The sequence below is a fragment of the Homo sapiens genome, chromosome X, assembly GCF_000001405.40.
Source record: "Homo sapiens chromosome X, GRCh38.p14 Primary Assembly".
Classification (NCBI taxonomy): Eukaryota; Metazoa; Chordata; class Mammalia; order Primates; family Hominidae; genus Homo; species Homo sapiens.
The window spans coordinates 137,746,531-137,768,018 of record NC_000023.11 but is presented as its reverse complement, the minus strand read 5'-3'; the positions used below and the strand labels follow the sequence as shown (position 1 = coordinate 137,768,018).

Genomic DNA, 21,488 nt, shown 5'->3' with positions numbered 1-21,488 from the left:
AGAAATGAACAAAGCCTCCAAGAAATATGGGACTATGTGAAAAGACCAAATCTACGTCTGATTGGTGTACCTGAAAGTGACAGGGAGAATGGAACCAAGTTGGAAAACACTCTGCAGGATATTATACAGGAGAACTTTCCCAACCTAGCAAGGCAGGCCAACATTCAAATTCAGGAAATATAGAGAAGAAGAAGAGAGAGAAGAATCAAATAGACGTAATAAAAAATGATAAAGGGGATACCACAACCGATCCCACAGAAATACAACCTACCATCAGAGAATGCTATAAACACCACTATGCAAATAAATTAGAAAATCTAGAAGAAATGAATAAATTTCTGGACACATAAACCCTCCCAAGACTAAACCAGGAAGAAGTTGAATATCTTAATAGACCAATAACAGGCTCTGAAATTGAGGCAATCATTAATAGCTTACCAACCAAAAAAAGTCCAGGACCAGATGGATTCACAGCCGAATTCTACCAGAGGTACAAGGAGGAGTTGGTACCATTCCTTCTGAAACTATTCCAATCAACAGAAAAAGAGGGAATCCTCCCTAACTCATTTTATGAGGCCAGCATCATCCTGATACCAAAGCCGGGCAGAGACACAACAAAAAAAGAGAATTTTAGACCAATATCCTTAATGAACATCGATGCAAAAATTCTCAATAAAATACTGGCAAACCGAATCCAGCAGCACATCAAAAAGCTTATCCACCATGATCAAGTGGGCTTCATCCCTGGGATGCAAAGCTGATTCAACATACACAAATCAATAAACATAATCCAGCATATAAACAGAACCAAAGACAAAAACCACATGATTATCTCAACAGATGCAGAAAAGGCCTTTGACAAAATTCAACAGCCCTTCATGCTAGAAACTCTCAATAAATTAGGTATTGATGGGACATATCTCAAAATAATAAGAGCTATTTATGACAAACCTATAGCCAATATCATACTGAACGGACAAAAACTGGAAGCATTCCCTTTGAAAACTGGCACAAGACAGGGATGCCCTCTCTCACCACTCCTATTCAACATAGTGTTGGAAGTTCTGGCCAGGGCAATCAGGCAGGAGAAGGAAATAAAGGGTATTCAATTAGGAAAAGAGGAAGTCAAATTGTCTCTGTTTGCAGATGACATGATTGTATGTTAAGAAAACCCCATTGTCTCAGCCCAAAATCTCCTTAAGCTGATAAGCAACTTCAGCAAAGTCTCAGGATACAAAATCAATGTGCAAAAATCACAGGCATTCTTATACACCAATAACAGACAAACAGAGAGCCAAATCATCAGTGAACTCCCATTCACAATTGCTTCAAAGAGAATAAGATACTTAGGAATCCAACTTACAAGGGATGTGAAGGACCTCTTCAAGGAGAACTACAAACCACTGCTCAACGAAATAAAAGAGGACACACACAAATGGAAGAACATTCCATGCTCATGGATAGGAAGAATCAATATCGTGAAAATGGCCATACTGCCCAAGGTAATTTATAGATTCAATGCCATGCCCATCAAGCTACCACTGACTTTCTTCACAGAATTGGAGAAAACTACTTTAAAGTTCATATGGAACCAAAAAAGAGCCCGCATTGCCAAGTCAATCCTAAGCCAAAAGAACAAAACTGGAGGCATCACGCTACCTGACTTCAAACTATACTACAAGGCTACAGTAACCAAAGCAGCATGGTACTGGTACCAAAACAGAGATATAGATCAATGGAACAGAATAGAGCCCTCAGAAATAATACCACATATCTACAACTACCTGATCTTTGACAAACCTGAGAAAAACAAGAAATGGGGAAAGGATTCCCTGTTTAACAAATGGTGCTGGGAAAACTGGCTAGCCATATGTAGAAAGCTGAAACTGGATCCCTTCCTGACACCTTATACTAAAATTAATTCAAGATGGATTAAAGACTTACATGCTAGATCTAAAACCATAAAAACCCTAGAAGAAAACCTAGGCAATACCATTCAGGACATAGGCATTGGCAAGGACTTCATGTCTAAAACACCAAAAGCAATGGCAACAAAAGCCAAAATTGACAAATGGGATCTAATTAAACTAAAGAGCTTCTGCACAGCAAAAGAAACTACCATCAGAGTGAACAGGCAACCTAAAGAATGGGAGAAAATTTTTGCAATATACTCATCTGACAAAAGGCTAATATCCAGAATCTACGAAGAAATCAAACAAATTTACAAGAAAAAAACAAACAACCCCATCAACAAGTGGGCAAAGGATATGAACAGACACTTCTCAAAAGAAGACATTTATGCAGCCAACAGACACATGAAAAAATGTTCATCATCACTGGTCATCAGAGAAATGCAAATCAAAACCACAATGAGATACCATCTCACACCAGTTAGAATGGTGATCATTAAAAAGTCAGGAAACAACAGGTGCTGGAGAGGATGTGGAGAAATAGGAACACTTTTACACTGTTGGTGGGACTGTAAACTAGTTCAACCATTGTGGAAGACAGTGACGTGATTCCTCAGGGATCTGGAACTAGAAATACCAGTTGACCCTGCAATCCCATTACTGGGTATATACCCAAAGGATTATAAATCATGCTGCTATAAAGACACATGCACACGTATGTTTATTGCGGCACTACTCACAATAGCAAAGACTTGGAACCAACCCAAATGTCCAACAATGATAGACTGTGTAACAAAAATGTGGCACACATACACCATGCAATAGTATGCAGCCATAAGAAAGGATGAGTTCATGTCCTTTGTAGGGACATGGATGAAGCTGAAAACCATCATTCTCAGCAAACTATCACAAGGACAAAAAATCAAACACTGCATGTTCTCACTCATAGGTGGGAATTGAACAATGAGAACACTTGGGCACAGGAAGGGGAACATCACACACCGGGGCCTGTTGTGGGGTAGGGGGAAGGGGGAGGGATAGCATTAGGAGATATACCTAATGTAAATGAGAGTTAATGGGTGCAGCACACCAACATGGCACATGTATAAATATGTAACAAACCTGCACGTTGTGCACATGTACCCTAGAACTTAAAGTATAATAAAAAAAATCTAAAAGAAAAATATAGATCCATAAGTAGCAACATGGAAAGTTATCCAAGACATATTGTTAGATGAAAAAACCATTCACTGAAGAATACATAGAAAAAAAGTGATTTCACTTTTATAAAAATAAAAACTGTACTATTTAAGTGTATGTACATTTGATTTCATAAGTGCAGAGAAAAATATCTAGACGGAGACACAGCAATCTATAACTGTGAGTACTTCTGGAGAATGGGTTTGAGACAAAGTCTGAAGGTAATAAGGTATTATTAGAAGATTTTTTATGGTAACAATGTTTTCATTTGATAGTTATATAATTTTTAAATGATAAAAGCACTCACTGCAAATGATGCTACAAGCCCTTCGGAAGGTGTGCCCCCACCTCCTTCCCAAGTTGACAATAACTGGAAGGAAATGTGAAAGAAAGAGAAATTCCACACAGAGACTTGCTGTCTAGAATCAATTCTTCATAGTAAAGTTCAATGGCAGCAAATCCTGCATGGTCACTCTAATCTCTCATGACCCCCTCCCCTAAAATATATTTTTAGCCTCCTCTTTTTGATTAGGACATTAATTCAAGTAGATATAGTGTAAAGTGCAATGCGTCACCTACTAGAGAGTAAATTCAATGAGGGCAGATACCGTGTCAGTTTTAGTCATCTTGGTGTCCCTGGCTCAGCACAGTCCTTGGTACCTTGATGTGTTTGCTAGACATTAGCTCTAAGCTGGCTGGGCACAGTGGCTCACGCCTGTAATGCCAGCACTTTGGTAGGCTGAGGCAGGTGGATTACCTGAGGTCAGGAGTTCGAGACCAGCCTGGCCAACAAGGTGATACCCTGTTTCTACTAAAAATACAAAAAAAAAATAGCCAGGCGTGATGGTGCACACCTGTAGTCCCAGCTACTGAGGCAGAAGAATCGCTTGAACCCAGGAAGCAGAGGTAGCAGTGAGCCGAGATCGTGCCATTGCACTCCAGACTGGGTGACAGAGAGAGACTCCATCTCAAAAAAACAAAAAACAAAAAAAAAAGAGAGAGAGAGAGAGAGAAATTAGCTCTAACCTGTGTCTGTATTCCTATCTTTATTGTCACAAACAGCTCCATTCTGCCTCTAGCACATTTATTCAATGGATATGTATAAGACTCCTCCTACGTGCCTGGCACTGTACATTAAATATTTGTTATATAAATGTTGAATGAAGGAAAATACCTATTAGCATCCATTAATACAATAGCATCAAAGTGCATCCATTTATAAGCTTAGCTAGTTGACTGAATGGGAGGGAACAGACAAATGGGGACATGGCACAGTACACAGAGATTGAAAGAAAGGAGACCTGAGTGCTGTACCCTGGGAGGCCACGCAAGGAGGGGCACCAGCCAGGTGGCAGTCCCTTTTTTAGCACCTCATTATTGATACCATGAGCAGAGTAACACATACCGCTTCCTGTATGTATTCATTAGACAACTTACTAAACAATTAATCTAGCTGGATACCTTAGTTCCTACCCTCCAGGAAAGCATATAGCAGGGGGTGGAATGAAAAAAGTGTGGGCTTTGGGTCAGATTTAAACTATTGCTACTTGGGAGATTCCAGGCAAGTTGCTGACCTCTCTGACCTTCAGTGAAATAGGATGATGGCACCTCCGATAAGGAGTTATTTTGCATTTTTAAAACACTCTCTTGGCCAGGCGCGCTGGCTCATGCCTGTAATCCCAGCACTTTGGGAGGCTGAGGTGGGCGGATTACCTGAGGTGGGGAGTTCGAGAACAGCCTGATCAACGTGGGGAAACCCCGTATCTCCTAAAAATACAAAATTAGCCAGGCGTGGTGGCACATGCCTGTAATCCCAGCTGCTAGGGAGGCTGAGACAGGAGAATTGCTTGAACCTGGGAGGCGGAGGTTGCGGTGAGCCGAGATAGCGCCATTGTACTCCAGCCTGGGCAACAAGAGTGAAACTCCATCTCAAAACAAAAACAAAAACAAAAACAAAAACAAAACACTCTCCTGTAAAATGCCCGGTACTTAGTAGGTATTCAGTAATTGATAATTAAAATTATTAATTAATCTACAGGTTTAATCTGACATTCTAGCCGGGGTGGAGGTAAGAAAGGGGGAAAGACCATGAGATAATTACCTCTAATGGAAGGCAGAATCAAATATGTGCTCTTATTGGGAAGGGGGGCACGAGGTTGTAGACCCAGAGAAAAATATAATACCTTCCAACTAACGGCAGGGATTGGGGAAGGCTTCCCAGATAATGTGACATTTCAAATTGGGCCTGAGGGGATGAGGAGGATTTCTATAGGTAGAAAAGGGATAAGGTATGTGACTGTGCACTCTCTTGTCCTATAAACAAAAAGGCATCCCTGTAGCAGACACAGAATGAAATTTGTTAGGGTGATAAAGAAAAGCAGAGAGATGCAGTTAAGATTATGTCTGTATAACAGCAAACATACATTTGGCAGCGAATAAATGGATCATCATGACTCACTTGGTTTCTCCAGACTCAGGAGAAGAAAATGAAAAAAGAACTGGAACTGAATATCAGGATAAAATTGTTTTACTAGAAAGATTATTTTGATTGTGAGACAATCTCCCAAGGAAAAAAAAAAGAATCCCTTGCTCGTGCGTTCTATTAACTAGAAAGTATCTTGGATACAGTTGAATCTTTTGATTACACAATTGAATGAAAACTCTTAAAACAAGAATGAAGAACAGACATTCCCTTGGAAATTGTGCTCTGACAGTCTAGACAGTAGCCCTGCCCACAGACACTACAGCATTCTGTACAACAAACATAATCTAAATCTCACTGCCCAACTGGACCTTTTACTATATACGCTCTCATACACTTTGGTGGGCCTGCGTTACCCCCACTAGATTGCAGGCTCTCTGAGATCAGGAATGCTGTTACCTGTTTTTCCCAGAATTTAGCATCATCCAAGACACACAGTCCCCTGAGCTTAGGTTTCTCCATTCAGTCATCTCTCCAGCTCTTCTAAGTCTTTATTACAAGGTGATGAACTTGAGTGAAAACAGGACCCACATTAGCTCATTTGTAATTGTTTTCTGGTGGCTGATTTTAGCCTCTAAGTTTATAATTATCAGGTAGCCAGAGAATAGCCTCAATTTTCAGCTCCTCTACAATATGCAGCAACAGATTTTTTCCTTTAAGACCAAGAGAGGAAGGAAATATAGAATTAGAGCAAATTCCTAAGGGTGCAGTACCATAAAGTCACATAATATGAGCAAACTCAAGGAGAGGTGTTGCTTTATAGGGTTGGCATTGGGTCACGCAAAAGGCCGTCATACGGCCATGAATCCATCAAAGTTCTGCTTTGAGCCTGTCCCTAACCTGTGCGCATTGGAAAGAAAAAACCCAGCTTCCCCTTTGCCTGAAAGGGCGGTATGTGTTCTGTCCTACAGCCTTTTGCTAGTGGCTGCTGTGAGGGCCCATGAGGGTCCCTGAGCATTCCAGGAGTGGAATTGATTGGGGAATCAAAGAGTGTGGCTTGGACAAGCGGGCAGAGCATGACTTGTCCGTTGTGAGACACCATCTTTTAGCCTCCTCTCCTTTTCCAGAAGGTTGACTGTACCTTTAATTAACTGTGGAAACTTGTCACAAGGGAGCTTGTTAAAAATGCAGAATCACAGGATCCCCTTTTAACAAGATCCCCAGGTGATTCATATGCACAGTAAAGTTTGAGAATCACTGCCTTAAGCCCTCTAGGCCTGTTTCTGCTTCCCTTAAATGGGATTGAGGACACCAACCTATCCCTGAGACTGGCTGTGGGTAGCAAATGAGATAACCTGGGACACCACTGTCCTGGAGCTGGCTGTTAGATTTTCAGGAGTTTTGTGAGCCGGTTGTTAAGCTGCTGCTAGTTTGAACTTGGGCTACGATGGGAGTATTTGCACCACAAAAATATGCAGACCCTACACATCAGGGCTTTTCATTTGTTTTTCAGAGATGCACTTTATTTGTACTCCATCCTAGGAGCCTTTTCCACGTAATACCCAAGACCTGTGAGCTGGGGAGTCTGCCACGTCTAGCACATGAAGGACACTTGCAGGTCACTAGGGGTGTTCAGAAGTGGGGACATCAGCTTGAATTTGGACCCAGGGTCTGGATACCAAAACAGGAAAGGTAAGGGCAGAGCCTCTCCATTTGGGCTCTCCTCAGTTCCTTGGCGCTTAACTCAACAGCTGGAGCTCATTACTATACCCCTTACCCACTAGCTGCTCAATGGCCTTGTTCTGTTATGCTGCAGAGGGTCTGTACTTCGGCAGCAAAGGAAGCCAGGTCCAGCATAGCGCCACTGAGTCCTGTCCTAGGAACCTTTGAAAATAACTTTTCAAATCATTAAGGAAATGAAAATGAAAACAAACCCTGAGAGAGGAGAAAATCCACCTACTAGCTAGCTTACTTAACACAGACTGTGCATTTATGGGACATTAAGATCACACCAAAAGGAAAAAAGCATTTTAGCCATCCAGCTCCCTGGTTCACACAGGGCAAAGATAAACTATGTGGCTGTGGAACATTTGCACGCTTCAACATTTTGCAAGAGGATGATCTGTCTCTCAGAGGTACCATAAGGATTTTGTGATCCTGAGGTTGCTATGGTGGCTGCTTTTGTGTTGAATAACAAAGTGCTATATGAACTTGGGCAAATCTGCATAAATTATGTCTCGCTTATGTCTCCATGGCTCTCTAACTTACACACCCTGATCCATAATTGAACATGCTTGGACATACAGCAATGGGGCATAGACATATGTTGCACCAGCAAAGGTGCTTCCCAGGTAGTTTCATCAAATAGGCTATTTATTTCCCTCTAGCTAAACAGTTGTTGATTGCCAACACACCTTTTCTGAAATTATTTTGCAAGCCTTTTAGCACAAAGGCTATTGATGAGGCACACTTGGTATTTTTCAGATAATACAAAGCACAGCCAAGTAAGCATGTTTCCATTTTGATGCACAGAAATCTAATACTCTTCTATTACTTACATTCAGTCCATATTTGTGACAAAATGAGGTTTTCATATAAAATAAAAACCCTGAAACTTACCACTATGCTGTGCCTCTGTCTTTTATCTCTTGCCCCTCTGAGCTGCAACATTCCATAGAATCCAGAATTATATTATCGCAGTCTAACTTCCTTTTGTCCAAGCAGAGCACATTGCAGTTCTCCAAAAGTAATGCAATATTGTCAGTTCTAAGCACCTCCCCACTTTCACCCTCCTCCCTTTTTAAAATGCCATTACTTTTCAAGAAGATATGTCGGTAGAACAGCGTGGGTATTTGTAGCTAGCTAGCAACCTTGGAAAAGTGGTTTGAAGAGTGTGTCAAACATATTTCATATACCCCTGGCTCCTAGCTTTAGGTCAATAGATGACCAGGAGGTGACATTTTCCCAGAAGCAAGATGACTACATGCCAGTTTTCACAGAGCAATGGTGTGTTGTTCTTCACCTTTTGTTCTGATGTCCAAGATCACACCTAAGTCATGCACCTTTTACTCTCTTCTGGAAATGTAGCCAACCGATCATCTACACAAAGGCAACCTCCAGCTGGGAAAGCCACTCTCATCTCAGAGGTGAGTGGAGCATGGCGATGAGTCATGAGAGCTCACAAATGGCAAAACCAGGTGTCTGGGTTTCCAAATGATATTAAAGGATCTCCGTAACATCACTGGGACTTGAGTGGAATTGAACTACTGCTCTGCACCGACTGCAACAGGGAAACGCATGCAGGCGTTTCTGATTTTCCTGTTGCATTCTTTCAGACAGCCAACTTTTACAGAGGGTAGCCACATGATTGGAGCCAGAGATTTCACTTGGCCCTGAGCCACCAGCACTAACACATGTCTGAGGACTCACAGCTGCCTCACTAGTGGGTTCTCAGCACCTCCACTGCAGATGTGGGCTTTTCATGCTGTGTAATGTCTGCTTCTCAAGCTTCTGTAAGAGAGAGCAAGACAGAGAAAAGAACAGATAGGCATGAGCTCCAACAAGTGCCCACTCACAGGTGGAAGAATATCCAGGAAGCAGGTTGGGCTAAACCCCACACTGCTAGGCATTAGTCAGGTTCTCCAAGGTAGCAGGGTCTGACTGACCAGTGTTGGCCCCAATCCCATCCCTGCAAAACCCCAATCTTAGCTCTCCAAAGCCCCCAAGCCATCGGCAAAAGCAGTTTGGCCCTGACACTAATCATTGCCCAAGCCCAGCAAAGCCTGGGACAGTACCTGATCCATTTCCTTGCCTGTGAGATGAAGTTCATCAATTGCCAGTTTCTAATGATAAGCAAATGATAAGCAATGGGCCTTGCTCCTTGTCTGAAATGTCATGGAGGCATCTGTAGGCTGGATGGTCAACACATTTTCCAGTACATAGGGCAAAGGAGATCTGAGGTCTAGTTCTAACATGTCACTGACACGCAGGCTAACCTTTGGCAGGTCACTTTTGCTCCGTGACTCAGTTTTCTCATCTCTACAAGGAGGAAGTTGGATTAGATCACCTCCAACGCCACTTCCAGTTCTGCTATTGAGTGATTCTGTGTTGTACACACTGGCTTTACAGCTAGGCTGCCTCAAATAGTCACCAGGAAATTCTCCTTCTTTATGCTGCGTGCCCACCTCAGACCAATTTGGTTATAATACAAGAAAAGTCTCAGCAATAGGCTGGTGGCAGCAAGAAGCAACAAGTTCAGCCCACACAGCAAGGACGTTTGCCACCACATGGTATTTTCTCAGTTAAACAGTTTCCAGACACATCTGCACAGCACCTAAGACAGAAATCAACAAGAAAACATATGAACTTCATGGGTGGTCTTCTCAAGATGTTCAAAAACATTCAGGATATAAACTCACCAGGTCTATCTTCACTCCCACCCCTGAAAGACACAGGATTCCATTAACACCAGGCCCTGCCTTGGTTGCAACAATCCACCAGCCCGGAGTCTATAGTTACCTCATACCCTAAAATCAACTCAGCTTTGTCCCCTATGTCTCAGATCTCCTTGGTTCCAGGTTAGGGGGTGAATTATCTGCCACCACTTCCTCTAAAACAGCTGGGTTCAGAGCCCACCTTTGCCTTAAGTACTGGAAAGTGAGCCCACCATTCAGCCTGCAAACACTACCATGACATTTCAGATAAAAAGCAACAGTTTCAGCTCTAGTTCTAGCTGTGTTACTGACATGCTAGCTAACCTTTGGCAGGTCACTTTTGCTCTCCATGACTCGGGTTTCCCATCCGCATCTCTACAAGGAGGAAGTTGAATTAGATGACCTCCAAGGCCACTTCCTGTTCTGATACTGAATGATTCTGTTATAGGACATGCCTCCAGCATGGAGTAGGGCCATAACAGCTCTGGCCTAGAAGTCTAGCACTGCCACTCACTAGCCATGATTCTCTAACTTGTTTAGGTAGCAAGGACCTCGAAGTCATGGGCACCTTTGTGGAATACTATAAAATAGTGATATCTGGCCAGGCGTGGTGACTCACTCCTGTAATCCTAGCACTTTGGGAGGCTGAGGCGGGCAGATTACCTGAGGTCAGGAGTTGGAGACCAACCTGGCCAACATGATGAAACCCCATCTCTACTAAAAATACAAAAATTAGCCAGGTGTGGTGGTAGGCGCCTGTAATCCTAGATATTCGGGAGACTGAGGCAGGAGAATCGCTTGAACCTGGGAGGCAGAGGTTGCTATGAGCCGAGATCGCGCCACTGCACTCCAGGATGAGCCAGAGTGAGACTCCGTCTCAAAAACAAACAAACAAACCAAAAAAAAAAAAAAAATTAGTGATATCTATTTTTATCACCAAACACATTTGGCTTTTTTATTTATGTACATGCCTCTTTGTCGGAACAACAATAATATCAGTATCTGGAACATTTCTAAGAAATTATATGTTAATATTTTTAAGTTTTCTGTTATACTCAATTGCTTGTGTCTTGCTTAGTTTTTTAACTACAATCCATCAGCTGTACAAGGCCTTACATGGTGCTTTCCCTGTTCCTGCCCCCATACCGCTCCATTATCCCTCTCTCATTCATTTACCCTATCAGCCACTCTGGCCTCCTTTTAACTCCTAGAATATTACTAACATTCCTCCTCAGGGCCTTTGCACTTGCTGCTTTCTCTATCTGGAATTATCACTTCTTTCAGGTCAAATAAATTTCACTTTCTCAGTAGGGTTTTCCACCGCTTCCCCACCAAATAAATATTCCAAACCCCATTCATACTTCCTATCCTCTTTGTTCCTTTGCTCATTTTTTTTCTCCTTAGCCTTTATCACTGACATACCATACACTTTACCTATTTGTCGTATTTATTGTCTCTTTCCCCAATTAGAACGTAAGCTCCATGAGGCCAGGGATTTTTTGTTTTTTGTTTTTTTCCACTGCTGTTTCTCCAGTGCCAAGAACAGTACCTGGTACAGAGAAGGCACTCAGAAGCTATTGAATGAATGAAGTTCTAGGAGCAGGCACCAAATTGTTTAATAAATATTTATGGGAGAAAAAAATTATAGTTGAAAAGATGTATCAAATTAATCTGCAAACTGGGAAAGGCTTCCTTTATTCTTAGAAAGTGGCTGACATTTCAGTCCAGTTTTGGGAGCTTTAGGGATCCTCGGGGCCAGAGTTTGAGAGCCCTGAGTGTAAATGCCCTCGCGCCATATTGTGTGTTCTGACTTGCATGGCCTAATCTTGTCAGCTGCCTTCCCAATCAATAATACACACTTCTGGCTGGAAACATCCAGTAATATGTTAGAACATGGAGTCCCCTAGACATAAAAGCAACCACGAAAAATGTTTTCTGAGTGCAAAGCTCTATGCTTGAATACATTTCTGGCACTATCAGCAAAGCTCACAACCACTCTGTGAGGTGAGGAGCATTTTTTCCTGTTTTTTAGGTGGGAAAACTGAACCTAAAGGAGACTGAGTTTTTTCCCCAAGTGTGCACAGCAAGAAATGGTGAGGTGAGGCTTTAAATTTGAGCCTGAAACACTAAGTTCTACCCTCTTACTTTCTTATCTCCTATTGCCTGCTTTCTTCCTGCTGCTGAAGTCCTCTCCTTACTCCCCACCCCCAAGCCTGGAAATTTGCATTTGGGGATTAAAATAGGTAGATGTGGCCAGGTGTGGTGGCTCATATCTGTAATCCCAGCACTTTGGGAGGCCGAGGCCGGCGGATCATCTGAGGTCGGGAGCTTGAGACCAGACTGACCAACATGGAGAAACCCTGTCTCTACTAAAAAAAAAAAAAAAAAAAAAATTAGGTGGGCGTGGTGGGGCATGCCTGTAATCCCAGCTACCTGGGAGGCTGGGGCAGGAGAATCACTTGAACCTAGGAGGCGGAGGTTGCGGTGAGCTGAGATCATGCCCTTACACTCCAGCCTGGGCAACAAGAGTGAAACTCTATCAAAAAAAAAAAAAAACAAAAAAAACCTGTGTTCCAATTTACATAATCAGAACCCCAGTTACCTCAAGTATTAACAAAAAAGAGAAAGATGATCCACTTCTCAGCATTGTCATGAGGATGAAATGAGATAATATTCAGAAATGGGCCAAGCCCAGTGCCTGACACATAATAGCAACTTAGTAAATGTACGTTTCTTTCCTGCCTTTTCAGCCTCAGACATGAGCTCCTTCTTCTTTGTAGTTACTTCCAACCCCAAGGACACTGCTTGATGAGTAGCAGGGGAGGAGAACTTTTCCACCTTGAGGGATGATCTGCTTTTCCCTTTTATTCGTTGCTTTCCCTGTCACTTTGATTGCCCTTAGACTAAAGGTATGGAATTTCAAGAAGTGAAGATGACCTAAAAAATCTGACTCTTCTTAAAAATGAGGAAGATCCAGAAATTCATTATGCTATAATGAAGAATGCTTAGCATTTTCCTTCTTTTTGATAATTGATGAATGACCAGTCAGATCTTAAATGTGCCGATTCTAGATGAGATGAACTAATCAAAATTAACATTGTCAAAAGCAACTCATGTCAATTAAAGATGAAAAAAGATGAAACTCAATAAAGGATCTTTCCTAGGAAAGAAAAGTTTCAAAAATTTTTGTTTCATTTTGTTGCCATGGTACCAACATTTTCAACTATTTTCAGTTATCTTGAAATACTCAGTAAGGCCAAGCACATCCTATGATATCCAATTGCTTTCCCAGGTTTATTTTAAAGCATTATTCTGTAAATGCAAATGAATGTTTGCAGACATCTGAAGATTAATACTGAATTGGAAATATTTAGTAAACTGTCTATCTTTAGATAACGCCATACAATAACACTTTGAATGTATCCAATGCCTTTGTTCTGAGCAGCTCAAAGGGCTCTGAAACTATTATCTCATAATTAAATATCACATTCCTAAGCTAGAGTATCATGATGTTACTGGTTAGTGGTGTCAGCAGTTCCGCTCTGGAAACCACATACTGTTACTAGAGGACTACTGGAGCAAAATGAAATGATACGAAAAAAAAAAAAAAAAAAAAAAAAAAGCTTCACAACTACCTCAACGTGAAAGTCCTAAAACAAATCATGTTCTCTATCAAAGTACTTTCCCAGAATTACACTAAGGCTTTCTATATTCCCAATGCAGATATTAAGAAAGAATGCTATAGTTTCCTGAACTGGTAATACCAAGTAGAGTGGAAATAGCAGCAGACTGAGGTCAGAAGCCTTGGTTCTTATGGAGCCTCTACCTTTAACTTCCTAGTACTGCATGTCTTTTTCTTTTATGGATGGAACTTTCCTCACCTGGGAAAACAGAGGGTTGAATGGACCAGTGCCTTTCATACTGCTCTGACAGTGAAAAACTTTCCGCCGAACAATGGGAATCTATTTATCACTTTTTATCAGGCTTCTCTGTAGGTATCTGCAAATTTTCATGGCAAAAGAATTTGAAAGCCCCTACACTCATATTCCTAACAGCATTATTTGCAGTAGCCAAGAGATGGAAGCAGCCCAAGTTTCCATCAACAGATGAATGAATAAACAAAATGTGGTATCTACATACAATGGAATATCATTAAGCTATAAAAAGAATGAAACTCTGATAAATGCTATAACATGGATGAGCCTTGAAGACATTGTGATAAGTGAAATAAGCCAGACACAAAGGACAAATATTTTATTTTTCTATTTATATGAAATATCTAGAATAGGCAAATTCACTGAGACAGAAAGTAGAATAGTCGTTACCAGGGTCTCGGGAATGGGGACTGAGTTTCAGTTTTGCAAGATATAGAGTTCTGGAGATGAATGGTGGTGATGATTGCACAACAATGTGAATGCACTTAATACCACAGAACTATACACTTAAAAATGGTTAAGATGGAAAGTTTTATGTTATGTGTATTTTACCACAATTTTAAAAATAAAAATAAAATACAAAATAAAAAGATCCCACTGATAAAGAGCAGTTTGAAAATAACTGGGCTAAGGCCAGGCACAGTGGCTCTCATCTGTAATCTCAGCACTTTGGGAGGCCAAGGCGGGCAGATCACCTGAGGTCAAGAGTTCAAGACCAGCCTGGCCAACATGGTGAAACCCTGTCTCTACTAAAAATACAAAATATTAGCTGGGCGTGGTGGTGCTTGCCTGTAGTCCCAGCTACTGGGGAGGCTGAGGCAGGAGAATCACTTGAACCCAGAAGACGGAGGTTGTAGTGAGCCGAGACCACGCTACTGCACTCCAGCCTGGGTGACAAAGCAAGTCAGTGTCTCAAAAAAAGAAAAGAAAAAGGGGAATCACTTGAACCCAGAAGACGGAGGTTGTAGTGAGCTAAGACCATGCCACTGCACTCCAGCCTGGGCGACAAAGCAAGATTGTGTCAAAAAAGAAAGAGAGAGAGAGAGAGAGAGAGGAAGGAAGGAAGGAAGGAAGGAAGGAAGGAAGGAAGGAAGGAAGGAAGGAAGGAAGCAAGCAAGCAAATAACTGGGCTATTATGTGAATCTGAAAAAAATAGTATTGTGACCAAGAAAAAAAAAAACGATTCCTTAAATTTGACTTTGTTACTATTGGAAAATAGAGTCAACAATTGTGGACAGCAATGAATAATCTCATTTCTCCATACTATGAGAGTGGGTTTATGTTGACAGAAAACAGTTCTCCAGAGTTTTCTAAAAAGGGCTTTTGGTTACTCCTGATTTCTTTGCAGAGGGATAGAGACACAGCCCAGTATTTCACACCCAAGTAACCAATGCACCAAATTAGAAACGGCTACTGTGAGTCACTATTTTTTTTTTCCTAAAGTTGTTAGACTGGAAGATAAGGAGAGAGGGTCAGGTGAAAATGGGATTCACACTTACAATACCTGTGAGCTAAAGCAGCTTATATTTATCATGAAGTAAGTTTACCTTTTGAGGACACTTTTGCCAGGAGACAATTTGAGTCCTGCTAGAAATGTGGCATCCCCTCCCAGTCTTTCCATCCATGCCTGAGGCCAAACAAGACCCAAACCCACATCTAAGTAAAGAAACTGGGATTCTTTTCTCATGATTGCAGTCCATACTATTGGTCTAAATGTAAGCCTCCCTACAAAACTGGAGATGAACCTGGGACCTGGAAAGAGGAACCCAGCTATGGGGTTACTGTATCCACCATCACCCAAATGCAAAAGAAGGAATTGAAGCTCTCCCCTTAGTCCAAATCTATTTTTCCCACATTGAAAAAAAACACTGAAAAGTAATCCCTGCTGGAAAAGAAGAAAATTGTCACAGAAATTGAGGCCCAGGTGGGGTTGGGGCAAAGGCAGGGGATGGTCCATAAAGGAAACTTGAAGAAGGAAAGTTCTTTCCTTTCTTTTCCATAAAGGAAAAAAGAGAATAGAAGGGGAAAAAGTGTTTGCCTTTCTTTCAGAGTAAGAGAAGGTTAGGGTTAGGGTTTCCAGGGTCTTGTATTCAAGGTTCCCCTGCATTAGGGGATTGGTTGATGAAGGGCCTTGTAGTAATGCACTTACTCAAAGAGGGGGCTAAACGTTGCCATGAGAACCTTGGATCTGTATCTCTCTGACTTGGATTAGTGTGTAAAAGTCGCCTGGGTGGAGATTTTATATTAATCACTAAGTGTCCTTTAGGAGAGGATTTGAAGAATTCTCTTTAGCAGGTACATTTCAAAATAAAGCTAATTTCTCACCGAAAGCTCTCTATGAGAAGGCCCAGTTTGTTTCGAAACAGACACTATGGTGGAAAGGCTGGATGAGGAGTTAGACGATCTGGGTTATATAATCTTTGCTTGGTCACTTAACAGCTATGAGACATTGAAAAAAATCCACAACTTTGCTGGGCCTCAGTTTCCTCCTGAAATGAGGATAGTAAATCTTCATCCTCGATAAAACTTCTACAGAGTTATTTCCAGGCCTTTTCCCAACTTGGAAAGGCAAAGATGGAGCAGGGAAGGAAGTCTTGTGCCCTGGCCCTAGGAGAGATATGTCTTGAGTTTCCCCAAGATATTTTGTATCTGATTGTTGATAGAATTACTGAGTTGAGCTTGTGAACTTTTTATTTCACAAATTCTGAAAGCAGGTGACCCTTTTATTAGATACATGAAGTTCTGAGAAGCTAAGTGATTTGCCCAAGGTCACACAGCTACAAAGCATGAAGCTGAGATTCAAACCAAAATGCATCTGACTTTGAGTTCAGTGTTCATTACTCCCCATAAACTTGAAAGAAAAAACAAGCCCAACAAAGAAACTTTTTTACCTTATAAGTCCAGGAAAGAAAAGCTAAAACAACAACAACAAAAATGTCTGCCTTGGTTGTCTTGGAATATGCACACAAACACAGCGTGGGTGCAACAGACACAGTCTCAAGGTTTCCAGATCGATTTACACCATTTTCCTAAAAAACAAAATATTACTAAAATGATGGATGCAGTGGATCAAATAAAATAGAAAGAATATCTCTGTAGCTAGCTGGATTAGCTTAGTTAAATTTAAAGACAATTCTTAATTTTCCCTTGTTTTGCAGCTTCTGTACTTTGATTAAAAAGAAAAAGTCTCCTTTTAGATATTCACTCATCTCAGGACAATGCCTTCCTAATACCTCCAAAGGCACACAACAAGATTAACTAGAAGCTTTAAAGAAAATCTGTAATATTGCATACAATTGGCTCCATGATAAGAAATACTTGTTTAATGTGGTTTGGTTTCTGCAGAAATAAAAAGAGCCTATCTTTATCCATCAACCAGTTTGAAAACCAGACGGCCATCATTGCTTATGCTGTTTTAATATTTCTCTGCACATTAAAATTTGCCGTTCCTTTCCCATGGCAATTCAAAGGTTTTGTGCAAAATCCATCACAGCTAAAGTAAAGCCTTAGTTATACATCTTTCTATTCTCTGATGATTAGGGCTGTGTTTTTGTTATGGTAAATAAGTATCTCATAGAAGTTCAGAAAGCCCTTTTTAGTAATCGTTTGCAAAGTCGCTGAGGAAAATAATCTCTTTCTAACCTTTATGTTAGGCCTATGTGATTCTTTTCTCCAGGAATCCCTGGATGAAGTAGTACAAGGTAAGCTTTGTAACAAATTTGGATGAGTTGGGCTAACTCTGGCCTTAAGTAAATGAGTGGCCTTTTCAAGAAGATACTCTTGTTGGAGGAGAAGGATGTTCTGCACAATTAATGTTTGCAAGAGGGTCATTGAGTAGGTCAAATTTTAACTGGTGGCAATATATCACTCAACATCCAATGGCAAGCTGATGAAAGCATTTGATTGGCCTCAGCCATATGAACCCAAAAGACAGGAATTTCTGAACCTTGCAAGGAGAGAGGAATAGCAAGGGACAGCCTCTAAAAAGGGCTGTAAACCTCCAAAAGAGCTAAACCTCCAACTATTCCACCCTTCTTAAACTGATGGCTAAACAAGCAAGTACTTGTTAGCCAGCCATTCTTCATAGGTTGGCTTGTCAAAAGGAGGTCCTTCTGCACAGTGCAAGTCCAATATTTTCATCTAATTCTGTACCTGAACTGACCTGAGTCATTCAGAGCCGCAGTGCAGCTGGATCTGTTAGCCCCCTGGTACGCTGAGTCTTCCTGAAAGATAAACTCAAGACATCACGAAGATGCAAGCCCGCAGAATGTTAGGCTAGAAGAGAATTTCGATTTGAAGTGGAACACCCTCCCCACCACCTTCTCAATTTTTCAGATGAGGAAACCGGAAGCCCTAAGAAGTGACTTAACAAAGTGCACAAAAGTGTCCTCCTAACTCCAGACGCTGACTATTTACTCAGTTTTATCCCACTTGCAAAGGGAAAATGCCAAGATGTCTGGTTTAATATTAAAACTAACTCTCCCTACTTCATTGTTTGGTTTCAAGGAGCTGCTTGAAAGCAAAGTCCTCAGCCCTCCGCCCCCACCCTCACTCCCACCTCCACCCCCACCCAAATCCCCAGCTTAGCAGTTCCTGTTTTCTCACTATGCCCTTCCAGCTTTCTGTCTCCTCCCCTCCATAACGGTAGGTCCAATTACTTGGCAGCCCACTTAGCATAGCAAAGAGCTGAAGTCCAGAAATGTTGTGTGGAAAAACCAGAGGACCCCCAGTTGGTGCTTTGTTCCTCCCAGCTGTGCTTACTTCCCAAGCAGAGCTGCAATCCCCTCTGCTGTGGCTTCCCCGGGTTTAGGTCAGGACCCAGGGATACTATTATTACATAATTTTGCATTGTACCTCAATGCAAAAAAAAATGTATGAAGGAGAAAACCTACACCTCTTTTTCCCTTTCCTTCAATGGAAAAATGGGTATCATCCCGGCTGTTCTGTGAACTGGGCCTTACTCAGGACAATAGGCTTCTGAGGACAAGGTGATTAGGCTGGCAGTGCAGTGTTTGATTAGCGCCAACCAGCTCTTTGTAGAGGGACAATATCAGTCCGTACAGTAACAAGATCACGTCTTTTGATTTGGGTTCGCTCCCTCTGTTGATACAATCTATTATCCTGTTTGCCTTTCTTACTACAGCAAGGCATTGCACCAAGGGCTTCAAGGATTTTTTCAACAATAACCTCCAAATCCCTTAGCACCTGCCTTCTGCCAAAGAACCTCCCTCTTCACCTCGGCGCTTTTCTTTGTCCTTTCAACATGACTTTGAATAGTTAGGTAAAGCTATACTCCCATCCCAAGGAAAAAGAAAACTAGGGCGACAACTACAGGGCTTCAAATTTAATAAGAAACAACATTAGGCAGAGCAATTGAGTCATTGTTTGCTTAACCCTTTCCTTGCTCTCCCTGTTTTAGTTTCACTGCACCATCTTTTCAGTCGTTTGAAAAATTTGATAAAGAAGACAAGTTCCATAGCTTGAGGCAGCAGCCAAGAGATGCATCAATAGATTTGTTTCAAAAAAGGCAAATACCATATAAATTTTAAACACACACACACACACACACACACACACACACACACATTATGAAGCTGCTTATCTCAGGCCCCCAAATTACCCAATTTCTAAAGCCGAAAAGTGAACTCACCCAGAATTTGTTCAGACAGACTTCCCAAACCTCCACTAATAATTACAAAAGATAAATGGAATAGCTTGGATTTTAGAAGTTCCTTCTCAGCTTTGAAGATGTGTTCATATTTGAAAACATTTCACATCTGACAACTTTCACTAAAAAATACACATTCAAAAAAATGTTTGATGTGATCATTTGTGGCATTTGCTGATAGAACTGGCTTATTGATAAGGGACCAGAGACCATCAGGAAATAGGACTTGTGGGAAAATAATGGGTTGTATTTTCGTGCGGACTAGCAACTCCCCCACCCTTAAGCTCTGGCAGTATTCACATAATGCAATGTCTTGTTTTCTGTCCCAGCCCCTCCCCTAGCATCTTATTTATGTTTTTGCAAGGTACTCCTGCTTAATTATGATTCATCCCAATTTGGACTGTAAATAGAAGGCAAATTAATAATTTACGGTGAAAAAAGACCTGGGCCATTTTCTCTTCCCTTCATTCCTAGGTCAGCCGGCTCATTTATGAATTAGTGCTCAAGCAGTCTGAATAGCAGAGAATGAATGTTTGACTAAATCCTCTAAGTATGAAAGCTCTTCACACCATTTGGTCTTGAACTGATCCAATAGCGAGGTGTAACCACTAGTGACAATAAAGCGCCATCTGGCAAAGTGAACTCTAGGCAAACAATGACAAGCAGAAGTGAAAAGAATTGCAATGATTTCCACAAACATGTGAAATACTATAAACTGTGGGACTTAGCAGCTTCTTCCCAAGGCAAGTAAACAAATGCAACACTTCGTCGGTGGCGCTGATGTGTGGGGCTCCATCTCTGCCAGCAGGCTCGGCTCCATTTGCATTTAGCTAGGGAAAAAATGTATGCAGATTGGCGAACAAAAAAATATATAAGCACTACTAACCAGACGTCACTTTTCCTTTGCTCTTTACTGTCAGGGTGATGTACTGGAAGTCTTTATTTCTTTCAGCTTGGGCCTCTCGGTGCCTCATTCTCCTTCCAGCTTGTTCTCATGCCTTTCTCATCACCTGCTGAGGCCTTGATCACGGACAGAGCAGACGAGCAGCGGGGGGACAATTAGAGAGGAGTTCAGACTTTGATCATTTGACCATATGTGAATACAACAGCTGACCACATGTTTTAAAAGACAACTAACTTAAATGTATTAAAAAAATCACAAAGCAAGCATAGATACTGAAATTTACATTTTAATTATCTGGCACAATGCTGCATTCAACTTTTTCAAAATATTTAATATGGAAAAATACATCTTGCCCCTTCAAAATAGGAAGAGAAAGCACTTTTCTGCGTTTTCTCCCCACCCCCACCTCCTCTCCCCCTTCAAAATGTGTTCCCTTTCAGCAAAACATTTAACCACTGCGGATGGTGAAGAATTCTGTGCCGGAGATTTCAAAAGGCACATTCAAAGCTGCCAAAAGTTGGGCATGATTACTAAAGGTAGATGAAGCTTAAAGTAAGCACGATCATATATTTTAAAAAGTGATTTTATAAGAGAAAAATCTCTGTTCAGTACTTGTAACATAAACTAGGCTTTTCTAAGTGAGAGGAACATACTCAAGGGTTTATCTTCACTTCTCCAATTCTTTACAGTGACAATTAACACAATCCCAAAACGTGTGTTCTAAATTTTGTGAAAATCAAATAGCTTTCTTAGCAATAAAACTATTGAATACTTGGTGAGATAGAAGACAGTCTCATTGCAGCCACAGTGCACAAATGAAGGCTTATTCGTGGTTCATTCTATCAAAATATTGTCACTTTTTTCCTGGTTCTCTTTCAACTATCAAAACTGAACTGATTTTACTTTGGCTAGGTGAAATGTAGACATATGACTATCCCGCTTATAACCCTTTCTTGTGTTTTTGTATACAATTGATGATTTATCATTGCTTCTGGAGATATAGAGCCCTTCTTATC

General features: G+C 41.2%; 2 annotated features.

Moving 5' to 3' along the window:
- Positions 19,732-20,490: an enhancer, noted in NCBI's record as "OCT4-NANOG-H3K27ac hESC enhancer chrX:136829688-136830446 (GRCh37/hg19 assembly coordinates)". NCBI's record gives its function as "activates a minimal SCP1, AML or CMV promoter by ChIP-STARR-seq in naive and primed H9 embryonic stem cells {active_cell/tissue: H9 hESC(naive and primed)}" and the evidence as "EXISTENCE:reporter gene assay evidence [ECO:0000049][PMID:30033119]".
- Positions 20,491-21,250: an enhancer, noted in NCBI's record as "OCT4-NANOG-H3K27ac hESC enhancer chrX:136828928-136829687 (GRCh37/hg19 assembly coordinates)". NCBI's record gives its function as "activates a minimal SCP1, AML or CMV promoter by ChIP-STARR-seq in naive and primed H9 embryonic stem cells {active_cell/tissue: H9 hESC(naive and primed)}" and the evidence as "EXISTENCE:reporter gene assay evidence [ECO:0000049][PMID:30033119]".